At 55.8% G+C, this 20,085-nt stretch overlaps 1 protein-coding gene and 1 long non-coding RNA gene across 5 annotated transcripts, besides 4 other annotated features; one reads left to right on the top strand and one right to left on the bottom strand.

Moving 5' to 3' along the window:
• Positions 2,589 to 3,172: an enhancer, noted in NCBI's record as "H3K27ac-H3K4me1 hESC enhancer chr19:33782467-33783050 (GRCh37/hg19 assembly coordinates)". NCBI's record gives its function as "activates a minimal SCP1, AML or CMV promoter by ChIP-STARR-seq in primed H9 embryonic stem cells {active_cell/tissue: H9 hESC(primed)}" and the evidence as "EXISTENCE:reporter gene assay evidence [ECO:0000049][PMID:30033119]".
• Positions 4,430 to 5,380: an enhancer, noted in NCBI's record as "H3K4me1 hESC enhancer chr19:33784308-33785258 (GRCh37/hg19 assembly coordinates)". NCBI's record gives its function as "activates a minimal SCP1, AML or CMV promoter by ChIP-STARR-seq in naive H9 embryonic stem cells {active_cell/tissue: H9 hESC(naive)}" and the evidence as "EXISTENCE:reporter gene assay evidence [ECO:0000049][PMID:30033119]".
• CEBPA (CCAAT enhancer binding protein alpha) lies at positions 10,962 to 13,562 on the bottom strand. Of its 4 annotated transcripts, none has more exons than NM_001287424.2 (1): positions 10,962 to 13,562. In NM_001287424.2, the coding sequence occupies exon 1, from the start codon at positions 13,545 to 13,547 to the stop codon at positions 12,366 to 12,368; it is 1,182 nt and encodes a 393-aa protein (NP_001274353.1). In that variant the 5' UTR covers positions 13,548 to 13,562; the 3' UTR covers positions 10,962 to 12,365. All 4 variants share the same exon structure in this region, with proteins under 4 accessions (NP_001274353.1, NP_004355.2, NP_001272758.1 ...).
• Positions 13,393 to 13,962: a silencer, noted in NCBI's record as "silent region_10495". NCBI's record gives its function as "represses an Ori minimal core promoter by ATAC-STARR-seq in GM12878 lymphoblastoid cells {active_cell/tissue: GM12878}" and the evidence as "EXISTENCE:reporter gene assay evidence [ECO:0000049][PMID:35858748]".
• CEBPA-DT (CEBPA divergent transcript) lies at positions 13,849 to 16,085 on the top strand. Its single transcript, NR_026887.2, has one exon. It is a non-coding gene; the product is annotated as a CEBPA divergent transcript (long non-coding RNA).
• Positions 14,043 to 14,302: a silencer, noted in NCBI's record as "silent region_10496". NCBI's record gives its function as "represses an Ori minimal core promoter by ATAC-STARR-seq in GM12878 lymphoblastoid cells {active_cell/tissue: GM12878}" and the evidence as "EXISTENCE:reporter gene assay evidence [ECO:0000049][PMID:35858748]".

Here is a 20,085-nt window from a genome sequence, read left to right on the forward strand (position 1 = left end):
GTTTAAAGAAATAAGACATGCTTAAAAATAACTGCAGAAATGGGAATCTATAAAAAGTGAAATATCAGATCTGCAAAAGAATCAAGTAGGATCTCTAGAAATGAAAACTACAATAACCAAGACCAAGAACATCAATGGACAGGTTTAACAGATTAAACACAGCTGAGAAGAGAATTAGTAAACTAGAAAGGATGTCAGAAGAAATTATCACAATTGTAGTACATAAAGACAAAAAGAAAATACAAAAGAGAAGATATGAGATAAAGAATAAGACCTAATATATTTCATATTGTCCTTGAAGGTGAGGAGAGAGGAAATGGAGTGGAGCCATTGTTTTAAGGATGAATATGGGTAAACATTTTCTGGAACTGATACATGACTGTGTGAGAAGAAAAACTGAGTCATTGTGCCTTGGTGACAATCAATCCATCTCCCATGTTTCAGACAACCTAGAATTCAAAACATACTAATGGGAGATTCTGGACCTAGTCTACTCTTGGTCAAAGGCCACAGTGTTGTACAATACCAAGTAAAATATAGCAAATGACACATGAAAACAAGATCAGGAGTGAGAAATCAACTCTTGCCTGTCTCCTGCCTCTGTGGTTCACCCCTGCCTTCTTAGGAACTATTTGGGCCACTCTGAGATGACCACAGCTGTGTCCTCCTGTTCCTTCTTCCCTCCCATGGGCCTTGCTGACCAGCACTAGGAGATAGCAAGACAACATTCCACAGGCAACTGGGGGTCCAGTGGCATGAGTGGGTGGGTGAGGAATGCCTCTCTCCCACCCTGATTCAGTGCTGATGCTGATATCTTCCTCCTAGACACTGTTCCTCTTCTGTCCACCGACCTTTGTCTCCCCATTCTGTGCCTGGGCCCTTAAGGGTGCTTGGTGGAGACTCATTCACTAGCTGACTGATATGAATTGGTCCAAAGGAGCTTTGTCCCTCGCTTCCCAGCACACCAGCATCACCTGGGACCTGGCTGTCAAAGACCTAGGAGCTGGGCTCCAGGGGCAGGCAGGGTATTACCCAACCCTGGGTCCTACCATCCTCTACCTCCCAGCCTTGTGCTTTCTTGGACAGGCGAGTGATCTGGCTGGCAGGTGGGTAGCTTGTTTGTGACTCACGCTCCCCACCTTGGTGGCCAGGTGGCCTGGTCCCTGGCCTCCTCATGGTGACTCGTCCTGGAATCAGGTTCCTGCAGTTGCTCTGTTCTGGAGGGACACCATTCATCATCTTGCCTCTGGGAATCTCGGCACGCCTCTCAGACATGCTCAAACAGAGAGGCTGCCAAACCTGTGCCGGGTCACACAGCAGGTGTGTGATGAGGCCAGGGCGCACACACAGTCCCACACCCCCAGTGGGCGGGAAGGCAGGCCCAGCCCTTGTGTAACCAGCGTCAGGGCCTGGGCACTGTGAGCAGCTTCATGGTGGAGCTCAGGGAGGCCCTGGTCCCACCCTTGTCCTCAGGCATGTGCCAGATTCCCCCACCCCCAGCAGCAGGTCCCTCCAGGCCCCTGTGCTGGGCAGGACACCAGTCCCAGGGCAAAAGCAGAGAGGGGTGGCCAAGTGGTGGTTGATCTCTCAGCCCCTAATGAGCAAAGCCTGGGGTGTCATGTGGTCTCCCAGATCTGGCTCTGCAATGTCTCAGACATGCCGTTCGATTTTGAAATTCTCAAAGATGTTCCAAACAGCATGCAGTTGATTTAATTTTTTAAATTGAAAACTAAAGGAAATTGAGTTGAAGAATGTTGAGTGGAGGCAGTGGCGGGAGGTGTGATGGAATTGAGCCAATCATGAGGGCATTGGGGAAACAGGAGCATTTCACTCCCCTGGGTGGATTTGGGGGTACAGAGGGTTAAACTACCCCACTGGATGGGGAGTCTAGGAGCTCAGGTGCCGCTCCTGCCTGTGTTCCAGCCCTGGTCTTATCACTGCTTCCGGTGAGAAGGGTCCCTGAGGGGCCTAGGCTCTATGGCACTGGGCACCTGGCTGGGGCATCTCCTAGGATGCCTGGCTCCTGGGTGAGCGGCTGGGACCCTGAGGAGTCTGATGCTTCCCAGGGAGGCAGAGGAACCCAGAGCAGGCTGCTGTCCCTCCAGCGTGGCTCACGCACCGCCCCCAGGCAGCGCTGCCCCATATAGCAACATCACTGCCTCACTCAAGATGCTCACCTCACCTCTGACACATTTCAGGCTTGGAGCCATCGTCCCCACCTCCCCTCGGCTCAGGGGCCTGGCCTGTGACTCATGCCTCCACCTCTCCCAGACAAGATTGCTCCTTGAACAAAGGAGCACAGGCCTTGGTGAACTTGGGAATTGCACTTGAGGGGACCCTGAGCCCCTGGGTCTGACCCCTCCAGCCCTGCATCGGCCTTGAGATCACATGCAGGTGGCACGTGGCTGCACCCGCACCAGCACCCCCACATCGCCCCTCTCCCCGGTTGCTCTGGGAGTCACCCACACCCCAGCCTCTCCTCTGTCCTTTCTGCTGCCCTGCACCGAGCCCAGCTGATCTGCAGGGTGAAGAAGCCAATGATTTAAGGCCTCCCAGCCCCTCTTCATAATTGTGGCCCTCCTTTGCCTTGGCAAGTGGAATCCAACAGCTTCCTGTGCTTGAACAGGGAGACGAAGGGGCCCAAGAGCTGCCTGCCTTCCTTGCCTGAGGAGTTTGCTTATTAACTTGAATTACCCTCGTGGTAGCATTCCTGGCAGGGCAGGGAAGAGCAGGGTTGGTTTCTAGAACCTTTTCCTGTTGGCGGCCCCGGCGCTAGGGAAGCTTGGCTGAGGCCTCCTCCTACCTGCCTTCTTGCCCCTCCTCCAGGACACCCCAGGACCCCAGAAGCTTCCCTGGTTGTTGGAAGCCCTGCCTGGGTGGCTCTCCTGCAGGGCTCACGCTGACCTCCTGGGCCCGAGCTGGGTTGGGCAAATGGAAACCAGCTGTGATGCCAAGTGCTGAGATGACACAGTTGAGAAGTGAGGGGGCAAGGGAGCAGGATGTGTCCCCCACCCCTGACACACACAGCACATGTCTCTGGCTCCCTTCTCACCAGCAAGGGGAAGGCAGGACCCCCACCCTCACCCCTTTACTTGCTGAGGTCACAGCCTTCCAAACAGAAGTTAACTGGGAGGCCCTTGGGGCCGAGGACTCTCTCAGTACCTGGGGAGGCTGCCACCCCAGTGAGAATACTTGTTCTCTCTTGAACTCCCCATGGGTCGTCACCTGGGATTCTGCACTTGTATGAAGGACATTAAAACAAATCTTGTAGAGATGGGGGTCTGGCTATGCTGCCCAGTCTTATCTCAAACTCCTGGCTTCAAGCCATCCTCCCACTTCGGCCTCCCAAAGCGCTGGGATTACAGGCATGAGCCACTGCGCCTGGCCCACGAAGAGCATTTTACTTCGACAAGCACACGGGGCACCTGTGCCTGCTCATCTGAGTGTCGTACAGGCTTTGACCACTGTGCTTAGCCTTCAAAGTCACTGGCAAGGGGGCTCTGCCCCCAGAATGAGCTCATTAAGTGTTTTCTAAGCAAATGAAAGGCATCCTTTGTGGGGGGGAGGGGGTGTGGAAATCTAAGCAACATTAAAATGACTTCAGTTGTTTGGTTATTTGGAACAAGCATTTTGCCCTAAATTCTTAAGAAGGCTGTCTCCTTCCACTGCGTTTTTCAGGGACCAAGGTGTGCCCTAGCCTCCCACTCTGCCTTCTGCCCCAGCACGTGGGAATCATTAGCTGGAGCCAAGTGTCTCATAAGCTTTCCCTGTTTATCTTTCACAACTCCATGACATGCTACTTGTTTTGCATACATTTTGCATAAAAGGAAACTGAAGCTCGGAGAAACTGACAGACTCAGTGCGGGGCCACCCAGTCAGCAGGAGGCAAGGCCAGGATTTGGTTTGATGCCAGGATGGCACGGCCCTCTTCCCATGGGCCATCCTCATCACGGGATGGGAGAAACGGGAAACGCCTCCTTGTCACCCGTGAACAAACTGCTTTGCTCCAGAAACCGACTCAGCACACACCTCGAGTGTGCACTCTGTCAGGGTGCCCGGGCTTCACTTACGTGTCCGGTACGAGACTGAAGGCCCACTGTGAGCCAGGGTTCTGTAGCCTTCAGCTCCATGCCCAGTGGTCCTGGCTCCAGGCAAGTAGCACTTGTGATGCTGAATGAGGCATATATTTCAGCATGACAGACCACAGTGCCTTCAGATTGTTCCGGGATAAATCCTTTGTCCTGTGGCCTCCTGGGCTAAGGCCAATTAAACAGCTGCCAGGTAGGGCTTATTCCCTATAAATCAGTGGGAATGTGGCCACATGAATTTTAAATATCAGATTAAAATCAAATTAGTGGGAAAATTTGGAACAAATTGCCTTCAAGTACAGTGAATGAGTCTATTTTTAAAACACTGCCGCACCAGGCAAAAGAGTGAAGCAAACACACATTTCCTAACAGCGAGTAGACACCGTGCTGGGAGTGATCTGTCATGCTTAGTCACGGTAATTGCTCTAGCAAAACTCAGGAATCAAATAAAACGTGTTTGCAAATTGTAAATCGCTCCAGGAGGCTACTTCAGACGGGTCCTAACCTGATGCTGAAGGTCACGGCGGCTCCCTTTGGAGCAGACACCCAGCCCTGACGCCCCCTTGACCCATCCCCACCCCCTTTCTCTGAGCAGGGGTTGAGCCGGCTGAGACCATTGCCCAACATGTGCACGGGAAAGGCCGCTGTAAATCAGCCACATTTCCGCATCTGCGGGAGGGCATGGCATTCTTGGGGGGTGCTGGGGAGGGTGCTCTGGTTGGCTGGAGGGAGGTGAGGGAGTCTCCGAGGCCACCATGGCCGAGGCAGAGAAGAAATGGCGGCGGTGGCTCAGGGAAGAGAGGCTGTGTTTCTGGTGAAAGGTTGGGCTGCCATTTGGCTGAAGAAAAGATCTTCAGATCCAAGAGGGCTTGGGACAGGCGGTGAGGGCTCCCTCAAGCCCCGTCCGGGTCCCTGTGTGACATGCCCTGGCTCTAGGCCACCACATTTGGTCCCTAGCCTCCCCACCCTCAGGCTGTAGTCCCTCAATAACAACCTTGCCAGTCGTCCTAGAGTGGAGATAAGAGGAGAGACATGAAGCCTTGAAATAGCTTTTAAAGCAGAAATGTGGCCGTTCTCGTTCCCCCGTGCTCACCTGCGGCTCCTGCAGCTTGGGGGCAGACAGGGCTGCTTCTCCCCTACCCTGTCCTCTCTTTTGGAAATCTTACCTCCTCCCCGCACAGTCTCCTGCAGAGCATGACTGTCTCTCTGGGGCCTGGCCAGACCTCTGATTCTGGTGATAAACTAATCACATGAAGGCAGGGAAGATTATCTAGGACCGGATGGGTTACCTTTCTTAGGATTCTTGAATGTTAAAAGTAACTTCAGGGGCCGGGTGCTGTGGCTCATGCCTGTAATCCCAGTGCTTTGGGAAGCCGAAGAGAGAGGGTCGCTTGAGCCCAGGAGTTCCAGACCAGCCTGGGCAACAAAGTGAAATCCCTTCTCTACAAAAATATTTGAAAATTAGCCTGGTGTAGTGGAATGTGCCTATAGTCCCAGCTACTTGACCTCTTGAGTCCAGGAGGTGGAGGTTGTACTCCCGCCTGGGCAACAGAGAGAGACCCTGACTCAAAAGAACAAAACAGGCCAGTCATGGTGGCTCACGCCTGTAATCCCAACACTCTGGGAGGCCCAGGAGGGTGGATCACCTGAAGTCAGGGGTTCGAGACCAGCCTGGCCAACATGGTGAAACCCCTGTCTCTACTAAAAATACAAAAAGTACCTGGGTGTGGTGGTGTGTGCCTGTAATCCCAGCTACTCAGGAGGCCAAGGCAGGAGAATCACTTGAACCCGGGAGGTGGAGGTTGCAGTGAGCTGAGAATGCACCATTGCATTCCAGCCCGGGCGACAAGAGTGAAATCCCATCTCAAAAAAAAAAAAAAAAAAGCCAGGCGTGTTGGCTCACACCTGTAATCCCAGCACTTTTGGAGGCCAAGGTAGGCGAATCACTAGAGGTCAGGAGTTCGAGGCCAGCCTAGCCAACATGGTGAAACCCCATCGCTACTAAAAATATAAAAAAAAAAATTTAGCCAGGCTTGGTGGTGCATGCTTGTAATCTCAGCTACTTAGGAGGCTGAGGCAGGAGAATCACTTGAATCTGGGAAGCAGAGGTTGCAGTGAGCTGAAATTGCGCCACTGCACTCCAGCCTGGGCAACAGAGTGAGACTTTGTCAAACAAAACCAAACAACAAAGTAACTGTAGAAGCTGCAACTCAGTGGGCCACCACGGGGGAGCCTTATTTACTGTGCTCTTGCGTTGCCTCTGACAATGGTGCGGCTTGCTTGGCGGACCTTGGGCCAACCCAATGGACCCTTGGATAGAAAGGAGAGGGTGAGGATGTCTTGTAAAGAAGGAGAGAGATCCTTGCATTCAAACACGTATGTTCAAGATCTGCATAGCCAGACACTGAAAATCTGCTGCGGCCAAGTTCAGTAGGAGGCCAAGACAGGCAGGAAGGACCCCAGGAGTGGTCATTTGATTTGGCTTTAGGGGCTGGTGTGACCTTGAGGAGAAGAGTTTCCAGGGAGGATAAAGGTGGAGGATGAGGATGAGGGGACAGTGAGGATGAGTGTCAGAAAATGGCTCTCTGGCTATGTGACAACCACAAAGGATGTTTCTTAAACAAGCTAGTTTCCCACCCCAGCTTGATGGCTGCAGGAGAACTACGTCTTTAAGTCGGGTGAGCCTGCAGACAAGTCTGAAAAACGGGGCTGCTATAGAAGAGTCTCACTTCTTGGCTCTGCCTAGAAAAGGCTTTGAATTCGTAGAGGATTCTTTGCCTGTCGCCCTGGTCCAGCCTCTTCTGGGCCCCTCGAGGTAGCTGGGCAGTGTGAACCCTGTGCCCCGCTGCCCCAGAAATCATGCTGGCTTTTGAGAGCTCAGCTGGTCTTGCTCAAAGTGTCTACCACTTTGCATTCTGTTTTTTCTTATTTTTGAGACAGGGTCTTGCTCTGTTGTCCAGGCTGGAGTACAGTGGTGTGATCTACAGCCTCCAACTCCTAGGCTCAAACGATCCTCCCACCTCAGCCTCCCGAGTAGCTGAGACTACAAGCATGTGACACCACACTTGGATAATGTTTTTGGAGACAAAGGGTCTCACTATGTTGCCCAGACTGTTCTTGAACTCCTGGGCTCAAGCAATCCTCCCACCTCAGTCTCTCAAAGTGCTGGAATTACAGGTATGAACCACTGCACCCAGCCTTTGCATTCTAAGGGGAGTTTCTGGACTTCAGGCCTACTGGAGTTCCCCAACACTGTCTTCTGCTATTGTCAAGCACAGGCAGCGGATGTGGGCACAGCAAATGGAGAGAAAGGGTGTCTATGCCAGCCAAACCCGGAGAGGCCTGTTCCTAGTGGGTGGGGCCAGAAGGCTAGAAAAATATAAATAAAAACAAACCGAAGGGAAGCAAAGCTCTTGGGTGCCAGAACGGGGCTGGCCAGGGCTGCAGCTGTCTGAGTAATGGGTTCCACATTTGTCTGGCTTGGTCTGCAGCCACCAGGATCCAGGGTGCACTGTGGGCCTTGCAAGGGCTGGAGGGGACAGTGCAGCTGCAGCTGGACCTAGCATACCCTTACGGCGGCCCCATCCCCGGCCGCCACAACAGGGTGGAGATGTCGCTGCGAGCTTCCACTTCGGCACCCCAGCTTCCCTCCCCTCACAGCCCCACCCCTGCCTGGGGCTCCTGGGTTCCCCCGGCCAACACAGATTGTTCGTGTTATTAATGCCGTTTTCCCAGAGATTCCATCTGGCTTTTTAATTGCTCTGGGATGGGGCTAGGATGCTTTGATAGTGAATCGGTATCTTCCCTGGGCCTCAGCTTACGTCAAACACTCCATCGGCAGAGAGGGGCGTGGGGGAGGGGGAGAGGTGGGGTTGTCCAGAGAGAAGAGATAGCAAGAGTCTTTCACAGAATCAAGAAAGCTTTCAAAGGTGCTAGTGGGTTAGTTTTATCTAAAGAAAGGAAAAAGAGGCCTGGCAGGGTGGCTCACGCTTGTAATCCCAGCACTTTGGGAGGCTGAGGAGGGAAGATCACTTGAGGCCGGCAATTCTGAACCAGCCTGGGAAACACAGTGAGACCCCCACCTCTACGAAAAATAAAATTAATCCCAGCAGCTACTTAAAGGCTGAGTAGGAGGCTGAGGCACGAGGATTGTATGAGTTCAGGAGTTTGAGGTTGTGGGAGTGGTGACTGCACCACTGTACACCATCCTGGGTGACAAAGTGAGACCCTGTCTCTAAAAAAAGAAAAGAACAGAAAAGCCTTCCCGTCCTCACTAGTATAGGAAAGAAACAGCTGGAATATCAACACCATCTAGGCAAGGACTCTGCCCCATGCCTGGAGAAGGCCTGTGGGTGCCTTGGAGGCCCCTCTTGGCTAAACAAAGTCAGGGGTTTCTGCTATCCCTTGTCCTTCCCCATGAGTGGCCCCTTCCCCTCCTGTGAGACCAGCAGCTCCTGGAGGAGGCCTGGCAGGTTCCTGCCTGGGAAGGAGCAGGTGGGAGAGCTGGGAGGGGCAGACACTCCTCACCAGGCCCAGTGGCTCATCGCAGGTGTCAGGGCCAAACCCCACGTTCACAGATTCCCAGGAGATCCAGGAGATAACAGTAATATCCGTGACAGCACTAAGCCATCAGGACGCATCTGGCAGCAGAGGAGATGCCTCCCTCCCTTCTACCCTTGCCCTTTCCTTGAAGGCCAGCTAACCCTGAACAGCGCTGTCACGGGACACAGGGCTCAGGAGTGGCGCAGCAAGGGGGGCGAGGTCCCTGCAGTCAGGTGCTACATGTCAAGGGGAGATCGATCAGGGCAAAGGAGAAGCATCCAGGCATCTTGGGACTGGGGCCAGCAGGAGGCCACCCTCCCCAGGTATTTCATCAAAGCTGCTGCCTCCATAAAGCCCTCCCTGGTGGACCCTGTTCACACTCTGAGATCCCCTTCATTGCACTTGGCAACCTTAAACCACAGCTTAGGGCCTCAAGGGTGTGAGCTCCCCAAGAGCCAGAGCAGAGTCGGCTTGTTCCCAGCCCAGTGCCCCATCTTTGGCGCAGGCCCTGGCATACAGTAGGCATCTGATAAATACTTGAGGTGTGTTCAGTGCTGGGCTCTTGGAATGGTTCTTCCTGAAGGCTGTAGTCAGGAGGGGAACTGTGAGGAACCCTGCAGGAAGCGGTGGGTGGCCAAGGGTGACTCTGTTCCCGGGAAGCCCCTACAGCTGGACACGGGGTACATGCTGGGCAGGTTCACCCCATGCCGCCCAAAAGACCTTCCTCCCCTCTACTTTGGCCCCCCCCGGGGGCCTCGCCCTCCTCATCCCTTTCCTGGGGCTGGATGTGATTGGATCCTTCTTGTCCCTAACAAAGCCCACCCTGGAACTCAGGACCAGGAGGAGGACTCGGGGTAGGAGGGATCCCTTCCGGGAGCCATCAGCTTTAAAAGAGGAAGCCCCTAGCGGGCTGGCACAGCAGAGAGGAGGGGAAGGAGTGAGGGCAGGAGGGTCGCCCCACCCCCTCCCGTCCTAGGACCTGTTCTGGGGGGAAAGGGGGAAGCCAGGGATCAGCCCCCTCAAACAAGAAAAACTGGAATTAGCACTGAACTCAGAGGGTTTGCTGGGGCTTAGCAAGCTGCGACCTGCCCCAGGCCTCGGGGCACGCGGCGGGGCTCTGCCTCCTCTGTTCCCAGGGTGGCGGGGCAGGCGCCGCCTCCTCACTGGGCTCGTGGCCTCTCCTCTGCCAAGGGCGGCCGTGGGTGAGGAGGCGGCCAGACACAGGACAGAGTGGGGGGCCGGAAGGGGTGCCAGCTAACCACGCAGGCAGGTAAAGCTAAGCTTCCAGAGTGTAAAAGGAATGTGTAATTTCTCGAAAATGCCCCAGCCCGCATTGGTACACACAGTAAGCCACTCAGTGAACATTCTCTCGGTACAGAGTTAAAAAAAAAAGAAAAGTGCAATTTATCTTTTACCCTCCGTGAGGGTAAAATCTGAAAAGCACCATCAGCCTCCTGGGCCTCTTTCTCCCGGGCCTTGTTAGTTCAGGGATAAGGGCTGCCCTCCCTTGCTTGGCTGTCACTGCTGCTAAGGGGGTGCCGGAGTGCCTGACCTTACAGGGTGCTCATTGGAGTTGGGGGCACACCAGCACTCAGTCCCCTGCTGGGTCTGGGATGAATGCAGTGGGGAGTGTGGATGCTGGGTGGGTTCTTGAACAGCCAGTGTGTGGGGCAGGACCAGACCCCTGTTGCAGGCCTGCCTCAGCCCCCTTTCTTGTGAGGGCTGGGGCTGGGCAGGTGTGGAGGGCTGGATGGAGGGGTCTCTCTCTTCAGGCTGCCTTCGGGCCTCGCAGGGGTAGGGTGTAGCCACATGGTCTAGGGAAAGAGGAGAGGGTTGGAGGGTCCTACCACTGGAGGCCTCTTCCTGCTGGCCGAGGGTCCTGCTGGAATCTGGAGCTGCGGTGTGTGTGAGTGGCCAGGGCTGCAGCTGTAGGTGATTTGCAAGGAAGTCTGCACAAAGGGCTCCTTGAGCCTAGGGCTGCTTAGCCAGGCCTACCCCTCAGGCAGAGGACTCCCTCTCCTCCTCCCCGGGGCAGATAAGAAGCCTCGCCAAGGCCTCAGCCCAGTAACCCCTTCAGCCCCCTCCCCTGACCCCAAGAGACTGCCTTCAGGCTCTGGACATACTCCATTTGGAGCCTTGTCCTCTGCTATTTATTTGTCTTGCCTGGGGGAAGTAAGTCACCCCCTTAGGGTAAGAGGGGCTCAGGATGGATGGAGAGCTCATGAAAGTCAGGATTGCCGCCAGGGAAAATGCTGTATTATTTACAAATGTGACCTGGCCCACAGACAACCTTGGAAGTAGCTTCTTTCTGGTTTTAAAAAGACACCGACATTGACTTTGATATGTTTATATTATAGATATAATACATAAAACATCTAGAGTGAGACTCTACGTTCTCCCCAAAAGAAGAGAACCAAGCCGTCCTTCCCTGCTCCCAGCCCCAGTGATGCGTTGGCGGGAGGCCACCTCCCTTCCCGACCAGGAGCCAGGGCCTCTGGGGGACAAGCCTTGTGGGCAGCCCAGGCCGGAGGGGCTGGGGAAAGCTGAGGGCAAAGGAGAACCCCCCTCACCTCATTGGTCCCCCAGGATCAAAAGTAATCCCAAAACCAAAAGGAAAGGGAGTCTCAGACCCTTCCCCCAGCTGCCGACGGAGAGTCTCATTTTGGCAAGTATCCGAGCAAAACCAAAACAAAACAAAAACCAAATAAAATGGTGGTTTAGCAGAGACGCGCACATTCACATTGCACAAGGCACTGCTGGGGCACAGAGGCCAGATACAAGTGTTGATATCGGCTGATAAAGCAAAATATTTGGAAAGCTTGTCATAACTCCGGTCCCTCTGGGATGGACTGATCGTGCTTCGTGTTCCTAGGCAATGCTGAAGGCATACAGTACAAACAAGGCTGAGGGTCCCAGTGGCCCTTCACCCCCCATGCCCGCCCCACAGCCAGATCTCTAGGTCTCCCTCTCCCACCAGGGGTATACATCCTCAGAGCTGACCCACGACCTAGCTTTCTGGTGTGACTCGGGGTGGGGGCTCCCACTGGTCACCTGGTGACCCCCATCGCAGTGAGTTCCGCCCCAAGGGGAAGCCCAGCCTATAGCAGGCTGGGGTGGGGTGTGTGCGGAGGGAGGTGGGAGAGGCGTGGAACTAGAGACCCTCCACCTTCATGTAGAACTAGGGGAACAACCTTAGGTTCCAAGCCCCAAGTCCCTATGTTTCCACCCCTTTCTAAGGACAGGCGTGGAGGAGCGGCTGGGGCTGGCGGGCTTGTCGGGATCTCAGCTCCCTGAGCCCTCCTCCTGCCACGGGCCTGCTCCCCTCCTTCTCTCATGGGGGTCTGCTGTAGCCTCGGGAAGGAGGCAGGAAACCTCCAAATAAAATGACAAGGCACGATTTGCTCCCCCTACTCAGTAGGCATTGGAGCGGTGAGTTTGCATTTCCAAGGCACAAGGTTATCCTAAATACTAGAGTTGCCGGGCTCCCAGCTCAGCCCCAAGAATTCTCCCCTCCTCGCAGGGAGAAGCCACCGCCTGGCCCCCTCATCTTAGACGCACCAAGTCCGGCGCAGAGGAAGGGAGGGGACACGCGGAGCAGGCCAGGCTTTCAGGAGGCACCGGAATCTCCTAGTCCTGGCTCGCACGGCTCGGGCAAGCCTCGAGATCCGGCGACCCCAAACCACTCCCTGGGTCCCCGCCGGAGGCTGGCCCAGGGCGGTCCCACAGCCGCGCGCCTCACGCGCAGTTGCCCATGGCCTTGACCAAGGAGCTCTCTGGCAGCTGGCGGAAGATGCCCCGCAGCGTGTCCAGTTCGCGGCTCAGCTGTTCCACCCGCTTGCGCAGGCGGTCATTGTCACTGGTCAGCTCCAGCACCTTCTGCTGCGTCTCCACGTTGCGCTGCTTGGCCTTGTCGCGGCTCTTGCGCACCGCGATGTTGTTGCGCTCGCGCCGCACCCGGTACTCGTTGCTGTTCTTGTCCACCGACTTCTTGGCCTTGCCCGCGCCGCTGCCGCCACTCGCGCGGAGGTCGGGGTGCGCGGCGCCCAGCCCCTTGAGCGCGCTGCCAGGGCCCGGCAGGCCGGCGGCACCGAGCGCGGGCGCGGGGTGCGGGCTGGGCACGGGCGTGGGCGGCGGCGTGGGGTGACCGGGCTGCAGGTGCATGGTGGTCTGGCCGCAGTGCGCGATCTGGAACTGCAGGTGCGGGGCGGCCAGGTGCGCGGGCGGCGGGTGCGGGTGCGGGTGCGAGGGCGGCGGCGGCGGCGGCGGCTGGTAAGGGAAGAGGCCGGCCAGCGCCAGCTGCTTGGCTTCATCCTCCTCGCGGGGCTCCTGCTTGATCACCAGCGGCCGCAGCGCCGGCGCCCCGACGCGCTCGTACAGGGGCTCCAGCCTGCCGTCCAGGTAGCCGGCGGCCGCGCAGCCGTAGCCGGGCGGGGGCCCGTGCGCTCCCCCGGGCATGACGGCGCCGCCGGGGCCCGCGGGCGCGCCCGGGTAGTCAAAGTCGCCGCCGCCGCCGCCGCCCGTGGGGCCCACGGCCGCCTTGGCCTTCTCCTGCTGCCGGCTGTGCTGGAACAGGTCGGCCAGGAACTCGTCGTTGAAGGCGGCCGGGTCGATGTAGGCGCTGATGTCGATGGACGTCTCGTGCTCGCAGATGCCGCCCAGCGGCTCCGGGGCGGCAGGTGGGGCGGGAGGCTGCGCGGGGCCCGCGCCCCGGGGAAAGCCGAAGGCGGCGCTGCTGGGCGCGTGCGGGGGGCTCTGCAGGTGGCTGCTCATCGGGGGCCGCGGCTCCGCCTCGTAGAAGTCGGCCGACTCCATGGGGGAGTTAGAGTTCTCCCGGCATGGCGAGCCTCGGCGGCCTCCAGCCTGCGCGGGGCGTCGCCGCCGCCCACCCGGAGACCCTGCTCGCCCGCGCCCGCGCACCTCCGGGTCGCGAATGGCCCGGCCCGCGCCGGCCCAGCTTTTATACCCGGCAGGCCGCGTCGCCCCCTAGAGTCCGAGGCGGCCTCTGTCCCCGGGCTGCGGCGGCGCGGCGCCTGCTGGGTCCTAGCGCGCGGCCGGCATGGGGCGGCGAACCAGCGCGGCACAGCGCCGCGCTCCCCAGGCAGGCCGCGGCGCAACGCCCACCGCCTCCAGCGCGCCCAGCAGAGCCGCGGCGCTCGCTCCAAGCTCCGCCCCCGGCCCGGCCGTCGCCCCCGCGCCCACGTGGTCGGTAGCGGGGGCCCCCTCCTCCTGCCTGCCCTAGGCGCCCGTATCCAGCCACGGCCGGGAGCCCAGGAGTATCCCGAGGCTGCACGGGGTAGGGGTGGGGGGCGGAGGGCGAGTCTTGGTCTTGAGCTGCTGGGGCGCGGATTCTCTTTCAAAGCCAGAACCAGGCCTGTCCCGGACCCGCGTCCCGGGGAGGCTGCAGCGCAGAGCAGCGGGGCTGGGGCCGGTGGGGGGCCGTTTGGGACGCGCGGAGAGGTCCTGAGCGCGGTGGCTCTGCGTCTCCTAGCTCTGATCTCCAGGCTACCCCTGTGATTCCGCGCAGAGGTACCTCTCGGAGGACGCCGGGGTCCCATGGGCGGCGCCGCGCAGGGCGCTAGGACCCCGCGGGGAGCGGAGGCGGCCTCGGCCCGGGAGCCTGGAGGACCTGGCCGGTCGATCCGCCCGGGCTGGAAAACTTTCTTTATAATTACTTCTCCAGGTCGGAGCGCGCGGCTTGCTAGGCGCGCGGGGCCGGCGCTGTTACCCGGCGTGGAGTCGCCGATTTTTTTTCCTGCGGGACCGCGGGGCCCCCCAGACTAGCGGAGCTGGACGCCGGGGCGAGCACGGGGAGGGGCGCACCGAGGGAGGAGACAAACTTAACTCTGGGGCCGGGATTCCGAGGCGGGGGCCGCAGCCCTCGAGGCCCGAAGCCACCGCTTCCTCCCCCGCCTCCCCATTCAGGTGGGCGCCAACGGCGGGAGCGAGGGTGTCCAGGCCGCCGGGCTGCCAGGTCCGAGCACGCACAGGGAGAACTCTGCCCAGTGGTTCGCCGGGCGCTGTAGTCCCCGGGATCCTAGGGACCGAGGCGGCCAGGCCCTGGGGCCCCTTGAGTGCGGCAGCTAATGCTCTCACCGCGGCGGGGGAAGGAGCTTGCCACCGAGACCCCCAGCCACGTGCGTCCCTCGCATTCTTTACCGGGGCCGGGGTGGCGGCTACGGACCGTCAGCTGGGCCCAGATGGAGTCTTGGGAGCCCTCAAGTGTCTCCTGTCCTTGCCCGCGCCGCCCCTCGCCACTGGCGCTGAGGCCTGACGCCGCCTGCGTCCCGGCTAGAGGCGCGCTTGCCTACAGGTGAGGGAAGACCCCCTTCACCGACAGTGGCCTTAGGCCTGGCAAGGCGCCACGACCCGCCCAGGAGCCCCGGAGGGGGCACAGCTAAAAACACCGCTGGAGAGCCCCGAGCTTCCACGACGATCGCAGTAAAGAAGCAGTTTCATCTGGGCAACGCACACTGCGCTTTAATCAAGTTCCTATTCAACATAGTCCCAGTGATTAATAGCCCAACTGCTTCGTTTTCGGTCCAGAGCTCATAAACAAGATATTTTTAGCTTGACGCTTTTGGACGGGAGGGAGTAAAAACCAGATACGTTAAATAAATATCCCGATGTGAGCCGGAGAGCTGCTTGCTGAGCCAAATGCAGGACCCATTCATATAGCATTCACCTGTGGAGGGAGACCTGGACGGAAATCAAAAAGCACCAAGAGCGATTTGCGTTTTTTTCTGCGGTGCTAAAACTAATGGCTTTTCCTACCTAGGAACAAAGAAACGCCACTGTACATGCACGGTTCCCGGCCTGTGGAGTTGTGGGAGGAAGGCGATGTCTGGCCTTTTTTGCACAGCTGCTGTTGCCTGCCCAGAGATCGGGAACTCTGCCCCGTAGGACTGGAAGAAACCTCAGTAATGGGAATAAGACTTTGTCCAATAGGGGGCTGATGAATGTGTGGGGGCGACAATGGCAAGGAGTGGGACTCCCGGCCCGGGGTTCGCCAACCCCAGGGGCCACAGGTCCTCCTACAATTGAACCAGAATTCACCCACCCGGGCCTGCCCTGTGCAGGGTGCCGAGAGCCCAGGGATGCATGAGAGGGTGGCTCCTGCCTCTGGGAACTGGGACAGTGGGAGAGACGGATAAGTTGTCACACAGAGGCTGCTGGGAGGAAGGAGGAGACAGAAGGAGTAGGGGATGGGACTTCATTCATTCATCAAATGCACACGAGGCACAAATGGGAATCAAGGGTGGATGTGCTGTGATGAAGAGAAGTCCTGCCCTGAACAAGGTGGCGCTGTGGAGGAGGCAGAGATCAGATTTGTCTGCGGAGGTGTTATGGACTGAACTGTGTCCCTGCCCCAAATTCCTATGTTGAAGGCCTAACCCCCATGTGACTGTATTTGGAGATAAGGCTTTTAGGAAGTCATTAAAGTGAGATGATGTCATATGGGTAGGGTCCTAATTTGATAGGATTGGTGGCCTTATCAGAAGAACAATGTCATGGGCATGCACAGAAAGGAGGTGGCCGTCTGCAAGCAGGGAAGAGGCCCCTCACCAGAACCTGAGGGTGCTGGCAGCTTGGCTTTGGCCTTGGGCATCCAGCCTCCAGAACCATGAGAAATAAATGTTTATGGTAGGTCTATGATGGCAGCCTGCTTGGACTGAACCGGCGGTGAGACAGGGCTTCATGCAGGAGCAGACCTTTGAGCTGGGCCTTGAAAGTTGAGCAGGAATTTGCTGGAAGGATAAGGGAGGAAGGCTCTTCTAGGAGGAGGGAATGGTAAGTGCAAAGGTGGAGAGCCTGCCAGTGCATGTGTTCTGGTAACAAAGAACGAGATGGTTGGCCGGCTGGAGAGTGGGGTGAGGGAGGGTGGGGCCTAGATAAGGCTGGATCCGCAGACAGGGCTGGGCTGATGGCCAAGGCCACTGCAGGTGAAGGGGGAACCCTTATCTCCCAGGCTTTTGACCTCCAGATTTTAGCAGGGGAGCTTCGTTGTCGGATTTGGGTTCCTGAGAATCTACTCTGGCCAAGACGGAGAGGGGGTGTTGACCAGATGGGAAAGGATGGAGACTTGTATTGCCCCAGTAATGAGCGGGCAGGGTAGATTAGAACAAGATGTCAGGACTTGGGGGCTGAATGCCAGGCTTCTGGCTGGGATTACCACCCCCTGACACATATAATGCCCAGGAAATTGGAGGCCCCTCTCCAAGCCCCCAGGAGGCCACTGGGGACTCATTCCAGGATACTCACCTGCCTGCTTTGTGGTTTTGGAGGGGAAGACCTTGGAGCAGTTGCGAAGATCCATCTACCATGTTCTGGTTTTTCCTTGGAAGCCTAAAAGTGTACCTCGGGATGAGGAGGAAATGGTTTTGAGGGCAAGTGGTAGGTCTCTGGCTAGGCCTGGCGGGGTTCTCAGAGGACAGGGGGTGTCTAGGGCCCTAGATAGAAGTGTCCTGCCCAAGCCCTAAAGCAGGAAATTAGCTGGGGAGTTGGGGTGAGACCCTGGGGTCGATGGAGGCACTTTCCATGGGAGAGTCCCACAGGGTAAGGGAGAGGGGGCTGATGTCTGACAGTCTCATAGACAGTTGGCTTGTGGCTGGAGAAGTGGGAGCAAAGGAGAAATCACCTTTGATTGGGAGAAGTGGCTCTGGCTCATGTGCAACTGAGACAAAGCCAGTCCTAAGAGCAGCTTGTAAATTCTTCTGTGACCACCTTTAAGGTCCTTCTTCCTGAGGCTGTGGATGGGGGTGTACACAGGCCCAGTGTGGGGGGTTGAGCGTGAGTCCCCGGGAAACGGTGGTCCTGAGTTTTGGATGCTCCAGGATGAAGCCTGATTCTGGAGTCAATCACAGCACTAACCATTTTGAGAAGACAAACAGAGCCCTAGAAATGTTTTATTTTACTTTGGTTTAACCTTCCTAATGCAAGGCCCACGAGAGAATTAGTACGTAAGTTTGGAAATCAATCAAATTCTGAAGAGCAAAAACGGAACTAACCCTTCTGATGTAGTTTTCTGACTTTATCTGAAGCTGAAATGTGTGTGTAAGATTGGTCGCTCCAAACAGGACCAATTCAGATAAGATAAAAGTCCAGAACTATGATTTCAGGCTCAGCTGAGCTCTGGCTAGGGGTACAAGTATCTAATATGGTATAGCTAATAATGTCTCAATCATTCAATAAGATACTCTCAAAGGCCTTCCTCCAACTAGACAAACAAAACAAAATAAAAACACTAGTTACTTTTTGTTACAAATGGATTCATAAACGGTTTTATACTGATTCATTTTAGGCTTTAGATCTTGACATGTAAAGCATATGAACTCAACGCATAATCAACCCAAAGTCCAGTGTTTCTTTTTCTTTCTTCTTTTTTTTTTCGAGACAGGGTCTCACTCTGTTGCCCAGGCTGGAGAGCAGTGGTTGGATCTCAGCTCAATGCAACCTCCGCCTCCCAGGCTCAAGTGATCCTCCCACATCGGCCTCCTGGGTAGCTGGGACTACAGGCATGCACCACCATGCCTGGCTAATTTTTTGTATAGATGGGGTTTCACCACGCAGCCCAGGCTGGTCTCGAACTCCTGAGCTCAAGTGATCCTCCCACCTCGGCTTTCCAAAGTGCTGGGATTTACAGGTGTAAGCCACTGTGTCCGGCCTAGTGTTTTTTATCCACAGGCGCCCAGCTCTACCCATGAGATTACTTATCCTGTCTCCCCAGGAGGCAGGTGGTGTAGGGAGCTGCTGGGAGGATTAGGGAGAATGTTGTGCCAAGGCCAGTTCCTGGCATGCAGGACACACTTGCTCAGTAAATAAGAGCTTGGCATACGCTTCCCTACTCTCCTTGTCTCTCCATAAGTGCACTTTTGAGGTTCTAGTTTCCCCCAAAACTTTGAATATTAAGCAACTCATTTCTTTTTTTCTTTTTCTTTTCTTTTCCCTTCCTTCCTTCCTTCCTTCCCTCCCTCCCTTCTTTCTTTTCTTTCTCTCTCTCTCTCTCTTTCTTTCTTTCTTTTCTTTCTTTCTTTCCTTCCTTCCTTCCTTCCTTCTTTTTTTTCTTTCTGACATGGGGTCTTGCTGTGTCACCCAGGCTACAGTACAGTCATGCAATCTCAGATCACTGCAACCTCTGTCTCCCAGGTTCAAGCGATTCTCCAACCTCAGCCTCTGGAGTAGCTGGGACTACAGGCATGCACCACCATGCTCGGCTAACTTTTGTATTTTTCGTAGAGACAGGGTTTCACCATGTTGGCCAGGCTGGTCTCAAACTCCTGACCTCAGGTGATCTGCCTGCCTCGGCCTCCCAAAATGCTGGGATTACAGGTGTGAGCCACCACACCAGGCCTAAGCAACTCATTTCAACACATAGTTATGGAATATTCTGGCAGTGTATTAGGCTGAGGTTCTCTGTGTGTTCTGCGGAAAAGTACCTAGAAGGCATGGTACTCTATGCAGAACGTTCCAAGGCATAACAAATTCTGTCTTCATAAGGTAGAGATCATTTAACCATTAGGAAGTGTAACTATATTGTATGTATACCACATAAAATCACAACCATAAGTACTCAAGTCTATAACGAGTCCATACTGTCAAATTCACAAAAATCAGCTGTTTCCAGTTTTCTCTCTCTCTCTCTCTGTCCTGTCTTTTTTTATTTTTTTTTGAGATGGACTCTTCCTCTGTCACCCAGGCTGGAGTGCAGTGGCATGATCTCGGCTCACTGCAACCTCTGCCTCCCCGGTTCAAGCAATTCTCCTGCCTCAGCCTTTCAAGTAGCTGAGATTACAGGTGAGTGCCACCATGCCTGGCTAATTTTTGTATTTTTAGTAGAGACGGGGTTTCACCATGTTGGCCAGGCTGGTCTTGAACTCCTGACCTCAGGTGATTCACCAGCCTCAGCCTCCCAAAGTGCTGGGATTACAGGCGTGAGCCACCGTGCCCAACCTCCAGTTTTTTCTTAATATTCATCTACTATACCATGTGTGTGATTTCTTTTGTCATTTTTCATGTTTATAATATAGTTAGGCTTTGTGTCCCTGCCCAAATGTCATCTTGAATTATAATCCCTGTATTCCCCACAATCCCCATGTGTCAAGGGAGAGACCAGGTAGAGGTAATTGATTCATGGGGGCAGTTTCCCCCCAACGTTGTTCTCATGATAGTGAGTTCTCATGAGATCTCATGGTTTCATAAGGGGCTCTTCCCTCTTCTCTCGGCACTTCTCCTTCCTGCCGCCTTGTGAAGAAGGTGCCTTTCTTCCCCTTCATCTTCTGCCATGATTGTAAGTTTCCTGAGGCCTCCCCAGCCATGCTGAACTGTGAGTCAATTAAACCTCTTTTCTTAAATTACCCAGTCTCAGGCAGTTCTTTACAGCAGTATGAGAAAGGACTAATACAGTTTGTTGATTTTATTTGCTTGCAACTGCTAGCAGGTAAGCAGTAGCTGGCACCAA

Source organism: Homo sapiens, chromosome 19, assembly GCF_000001405.40.
Source record: "Homo sapiens chromosome 19, GRCh38.p14 Primary Assembly".
NCBI lineage: Eukaryota > Metazoa > Chordata > Mammalia > Primates > Hominidae > Homo > Homo sapiens.

Excerpts from the sequence above, each read along its gene's own strand:
- CEBPA (NM_004364.5), bottom strand. The coding sequence starts at position 13,442 with ATGGAGTCGGCCGACTTCTACGAGGCGGAGCCGCGGCCCCCGATGAGC.